Source organism: Homo sapiens, chromosome 15 (genome assembly GCF_000001405.40).
Source record: "Homo sapiens chromosome 15, GRCh38.p14 Primary Assembly".
Classification (NCBI taxonomy): domain Eukaryota; kingdom Metazoa; phylum Chordata; class Mammalia; order Primates; family Hominidae; genus Homo; species Homo sapiens.
This window is the reverse complement of record NC_000015.10, coordinates 23,576,840-23,583,610: the sequence shown is the minus strand read 5'-3', so window position 1 is coordinate 23,583,610 and position 6,771 is coordinate 23,576,840.

Genomic DNA, 6,771 nt, shown 5'->3' with positions numbered 1-6,771 from the left:
TCCCCATTTTCTCTCATGGGAATGCCCTCAAGTAAAATCCTTGATCATTTAATCCTGTCTTGGTGTCTGCTTCTCAGAATACCCAAATTATTACCCCTAGTTAAGAATTTGGGCAATATGTTGAAAGAGACAATATTCAAAGAAATAAGCAAAGCCACAGTTAAAGAGACTAAACCACTGGACCAGGAAACAAGGAAGCAGAGCAAGGAGAGTGCTGTTGTATGAATTTGAGGAACTAGGCATAGTGCAGGCAGTAGAACAAGTAACCTTGTTTAGAGGAAGATGAGATGAATAGATAAGACCAGGTGGATCTGGCAGTCTTCTATTCCCAGCAACTCGGCGCTTCTCTTGTGTCTGGCCCATCTACAATGAAGAAAATGTGCTTTTCTCCAAGCAGCTTTTTGTAGGCAGATTCTTCCCCACAACACCCTCCAGATCAAAAGGGTAGCAGGAAAGAAGGAGGAAGTCAACTTAGGTGTTCTGAATATAGATAACCCAAGTTCAAATCCTGGCTCCACAACTTTCTCAGTGTGGGATTGACATTGAGCATTGAGAAGTTAAGAGTTTCTTGGCCGGGCGCAGTGGCTCATGCCTGTAATCCCAGCAGGTGAGGCCGAGGTGGGCGGATCACCTGAAGTCAGGAGATTGAGACCAGCCTGGCCAATGTGGCAAAACCCCGTCTCTACTAAAAATACAAAAAATTAGCCAGGCATGGTGGTGCATGCCTGTAATCCCAGCTACTCGGGAGACTGTGCCAGGAGAATTGCTTGAACCCGGGAGGTAGAGGTTGCAGTGAGCCGAGATCACGCCACTGCACTCCAGCCTGAGCAACAGAGCAAGACTCAGTCTCAAAACAAAACAAACAAACAAAAAAAGTTTCTTAACTAGCATATTGTTCTGAGTGATGTTATAAGAATTAGATTATCCTTATCAACTCATCTGCACATTGCCTACTACACAGTAAACTTATGTGATCTATTTTTATCAGAGAGGTCATCTGGAATTCAGAGCTTTTGGCTAGGTCATCTTCCCTTTTTTGTCTACTGTCATACCATGAGAAGTGACTTTTCTCCAATGATGAGTGTAGGCGTCTAAACATGACAATTAGGTCCACTGTATTCATCGTGTCATCCAAATATAACAGTATTTTAAAATAAGTGACTACTGCATATGTTAAAAATATCTGCTAAGTTTGTAGGCTCATGGATTTCCCGTAATTGTTTTGACATTTTTTTCTTTTTCTTTTTTTTTTTGGTGGGGGTGTTGTTTTTTGAGAAGTTTTGTCCTTGTTGCCCAGGCTGGAGTGCAATGGGACAATTTTGGCTCACTGCAATCTCTGCCTCCAGCGTTCAAGTGATTCTCCTGCCTCAGCCTCCCAAGTAGCTGGAATTACAGGCATGTGCCACCATGCACAGCTAATTTTTTTGTATTTCGTGAGACAGGGTTTCACCATGTTGGTCAGACTGGTCTCCTGGTCTCGAACTCCTGACCTCAGGTGATCCACTCACCTCGGCTTCCCAAAGTGCTGGGATTACAGGTGTGAGCTACCATGCCCGGCCGTTTTGTCATTTTTTCTTTGTATATTCTGAGGCTATGTAATTATGTGGATAAAAATTTAAAATTCTCTTAAATTTCCGAGTCATTGATTGTTTTTTCATTTTCTCTACTAATACCTGTGCCTTAAAATTCACTTTGTCGGTGACAGCGCAAGACTCTGTCTCAAAAAAAAAAAAAATCACTTTGTCAAATATAAGTAAATTTAGAAAATCTTTCTTTTGGATTACTTGTGTTTAATTTCCAATATCACTTTTTTATTTCTATTTATCTTGCTTGTTCTAGGTCAATTTTCACTTCTTTACCTTCTTCCAAATTTGTTTTTATTCTTTTTCACAGATTTTTAGTCACTATTTCAATAATTTTTCAGAAAAACATCTTGTTTAGAGAGGCTCAGGAGAATATAGAATATTGAGTAGAAAGACCTGCATATCTGATTCACAGATTTTCTCACATGGCAATATCAGACAGTCCCAAGCCTGATCAGTAAACCTATGTCTATATCTGTAGGAGCACTGAGAGCCAGCTGTGGCATCATAGTGATTTAGCAGCAAAAAATCATTGCTGTGTCCTCACGATATTTACCTTAAACCACTTAAATTTTTCTCACTGCAGTCTAATCAAACACATTTTTCCCTCTTCACAAAAACTCACACTCACAAAGGAACGAAATGTTTTAACAATTGACATTCAATTTTAAGCTCTGCTTTATTTTACATGCATATATATATATATATATACACACACACACATATTCTCCTGTATTTATATATAGATATGTACACACACTTACATATTAAAGTATGTTTATACACATTGGGTTGGGTGTGTACATATTTAGATATAGATAGATAGATAGATAGATAGATAGATAGATAGATAAATTTCACCTATGTATGATTTTTCAGGAGACTTATGCACACACAAGCATAGACACCATATCTGATTATCACTGCTGTTTTTTTTTTTTCCTCGAGACAGGGTCTTGGCTCTGTCACCCAGGCTGGAGTGCAGTGGCGCAATCTTGGCTCACTGCAACCTCTGCCTCCTAGATTCAGGCAATTCTCCCGCCTCAGCCTCCCGAGTAGCTGGGATTGCACACGCCCACCAACACACCCAGCTAATATTTGTATTTTTAGTAGAGATGGGGTTTCACCATGTCAGCCAGGCTGGTCTCAAACTCCTGACCTCAAGTGATCTGCACGTCTCGGCCTCCCAAAGTGCTGGGATTACAGGTGTGAGCCACCGTGCCAGGCCTATCACTGGTTTTATATACAAATGATTTATAAACTTTAGCACATGTATATTTCCTACTTGCCACAATATTTCCAGGTCAGCCCAAGCAAATTTCCTGTTTTTATGTTTGTTTACTTTTAAAATCTTGTTTTATAATATTCCATTGTATGTCAATGCTATTTTTTAACCAGTTAACTATTGTTGGATTTGTCTTTTCTAATTTTTTCTTTTTTTTTTTTTTGACACAGTCTGGCTCTGTCACGCTGGCTAGAGTGCAGTGGCACCATCTTCACTCATATTTTTATATGTATTAAAAATATAAATGCAGATCCAAGATAAACCTAAAATAACATATATCAAAAAGATTAAAAACAAAATTATGAGTATAAAATATATATATGTGTCTCTGTCTCCAGTTTTGTTTTGTTTTTTTTTTGAGACAAAGTCTGGCCCTGTCATACGGGCTGGAAAACAGTGGCACGATCTTGGCTCACTGCAACCTAAGCCTTCTAGGTTCAGGCCGTTTTTGTGCCTCAGCCTCCCAAGTAGTTGGGACCACAGGTGTGCACCACCAGCCCTGGCTAATTTTTGTATTGTATTTTTAGTAGAGACGGGGTTTCGGCCATGTTAGCCAGGCTAGTCTGGAACTCCTGACCTCAAGTAAGCCCCTTGCCTCAGCCTCCCAAAGTGTTGCAATTATAGATGTGAGCCACTGCACCTGTTATAATGCAGGGTGAGATTAACAAACTTGTACCTGAAAGATTTTGTATGTATAGAATAAACCTGCAAGTCACATTTTTAAAAAATAGAATGGCTTGGTCAATGTGTATGCATATGTGAATTCATGATTTGATTCTCATCGAATGTTCCTCCATGGAAATTGTACCAATTATACTCCTGCAAGCAAAGTATGCCTATTCTCCCAACAGAGTGTGTTTTTAAACATCTGGGTTTTTGACAAATTGAGAGGAAACTGAAACTTCATCAATTTTAATAAGTATTATTAGTGATGCTTGACAACTTTTCCCCTCCTTCAAACTATATGCATTTTGTTTATGTGCAAGAGGTATACTTTTTGTTAAGGTTTTTGTTGATTAAGAAGCCTTTATGTATTATAGAAATAAATTCTCAACCCATTTTATGACTTTTTTATAGTTTGATACTTTTTTAGGGGTGGGGAAGTTGCTCATGTCAAATTCATTAGCTCATTTTAAACTGGTTACATTTGTAAGGCAGAGCAATTGGTGTGAGTCCCGCCCTGCAGTCAGATGGGCGAGTCTATTAACTGTGTGCCATGGACATGTCTACGAGCCTCCCTCAGCTTCAGTGCTCTCAGCTGCTACAAGGGGTTAATAGTGACTACCTCTTGGGATGGTTGGAAGGATTAAATGGGATAAACCATCTCAGAACAGCGCCTGGCACACAGTAGACCCTATGCAGTTATTGCTACAATTATGGTCAAACTTTTAAGAGTTTTATAGAATATGTCATTGTAAGACATTCTTGACTCCAAGACTTTAAAATAAAAAGAAAATCCTTTCCTGGTTTTGTATTTGTCTGAAATTTTGATGTAAGTGGAATTTATACTGCTGTTAAAATATGGTATTTGGAGCCCATGACTCCTGAATTCACCCGACAACCTTTATTAAATAATCCTGTTATTTTTATCTTTATCATCAACTCAATACATATGTCCATTTATGAACCTTTTTAGCATATATTTTTTATCAATTCAAGTCCCACTATCTGCTTTTCATATTGCTGGCAATATGACACTGTTTGAAGACCTGGTAAAGTTCATTGAATGGATGCTTTTCAATTCTAAAATATTCTGGTCCTGTTGGCTTCCTGCCCCCCCCAACAGATCAACTTTCACAATAGTTTTTTGTTTAGTTATAAAGAACTAGTTTGTACTTGTGTTGTTATGAGATACACACACACAAACACAAAACACACACACACGTTTTCATTTACGGTTCTTGGCTCATAACTCCCATAGCCCTTGTTACAGTCTTTTTAAAAAAATACTGCGTGTGTTAGGCTTCAGGAGCAGGACTTAGGAAAGAGAATCTCTCTGACCTTCTCCTGACCTCTTTTCACCCACCTCAAGGCAGGAGGATTCCAATCTCCCCCAACCTTTCTGATGTGGATCATAAGATCCTCATCTGATAAAGGGTCATACCCCCCATACCTTGGGGGAAGGAATGCTGATGTCATGAAGCTTCCATAAAAACCCCAGAGCACTGGGCTCAAAGGCTTCTGGATAGCTGAACACCGGGAGGTTCCTGGAGGGTGGCACTCCAGGAGGGCATGGGAGCTCCACCCCATTCCCCCATAGCTTCCTCAAATGCATCTCTTCATCTGCATCCTTTGTAATATCCTTTATAATAAATCAGTAAACATAAGTGTTTCACTGAGTTCTGTGAGCTGCTCCAGCAAATTAATCAAATCCAAAGAGTGGGTCGTGGGAATGCCAACTTGAAGCCCACTGGTCAGAACTTCCAGAGGCCTGGACTTTGTGACTGGTGTCTAGGGAGTGGGGGGAGTCTTGAGGCCGGCCCCTCACCTGCAGGATCTGACACTATCTCCAGGTAGATAGCCTTGGAATTAAATTGGAGGATGCCCAGCTGGTGTCTGCTGCTTGGTGTGTGTGAAATGCCCCCACATTTAGCCACTGACATTTTCTGCATTGATGATTGTTGTGATTGAGAGCACAGGAAGGACACAGTTTAAGACTTTTCCCTAAGCAGTACTTTATTAGAAATTTTGTAAATTCATTAAAAAATTGACACATTGGTGATGTTAAAGTTCCCTATCAAATTATATAGTATATATTATCATTTGTTTAAGTATTTATGGTTTCCTGAAGGCACTTAACACATTTTTAAATTTATTCCCAGTTTTTATTTATTCCTAAATTTAAAGTACATGGTTCTTGTGTACTTTAAATTATTGTTGTGATAACAAAAATAGGCATTTCATTACATTTTCTATATTATACGAAACTTATCCACATTTATTATTTTTCTCCTAGAATTTTACTGATTTTTATTTTTTAAAGTTTTACAGAAATTTTCAGATTTTCAACATACAACATCTCAGAGAGAGGAATTTAAATCCTTCTTTGAAGGATGTATCATTTATATGTCTCATTTTTTGGCCTTGTATACAATTGCATTGATTGATACATCAAAATAATAACTAACAGTGAAGAAAGGAGAGAAAAATCTAATTGTTTTTGCCTGATCAAAAGAGATGATTATATGATTACCTTTTTTGGCTAATTAAATAAATACAATGCTGAAATATTTTTATTCTAATATTTTCTTAAAATTTTGCATCATTATTCATAAACTTGATCATTAGTTTGCATGTATTTGTGAATGTGTGTTTGTGTGTGTTCACTACCTTAGTTACACTCTGATATAAAATTACGTGTCATTCATAATTAAACAAGTCAGTGACCCTTCCTTCCATTTTAAACTTCTGGATTGTGTTACATAGCACTTTAATGATTTGTTCTTTAAAGGTTTTATGACAATCCCTATTAAAATTGTGATAACCATTTTATTAATTTTATGTTAACTAGTAGGTTACATTGTCATGTTTTGTAGCCAATGTTTGATAAATTATAAATGCCTGGAAAATCATCAATTTCAGTTTTGCAATTAATCTTCATCTAGTTGAGTGATGATTTCTTATGTTTGTTTAATAGAATGTTGTGAATTCCTCCTATTGAATGTGTGTATGTGATTTTGTTTTTATTTTTTCTCATTTTCCTCATTAATTTAGTTAGTGGTTTATCTATTTTATTAATTGTTTTCAAAGTCTCAGCCTTTATATTTAATATTTTAATCTTCCTATATTTTTTATTTCTTTTCATTAGTTATGTGTTTTTGTGTGTTCATTTCTCAAAAATTTAGATTTGGGTAATATACACATATAAATATATTTATGCTCTAAATAGCTGTATTATATACA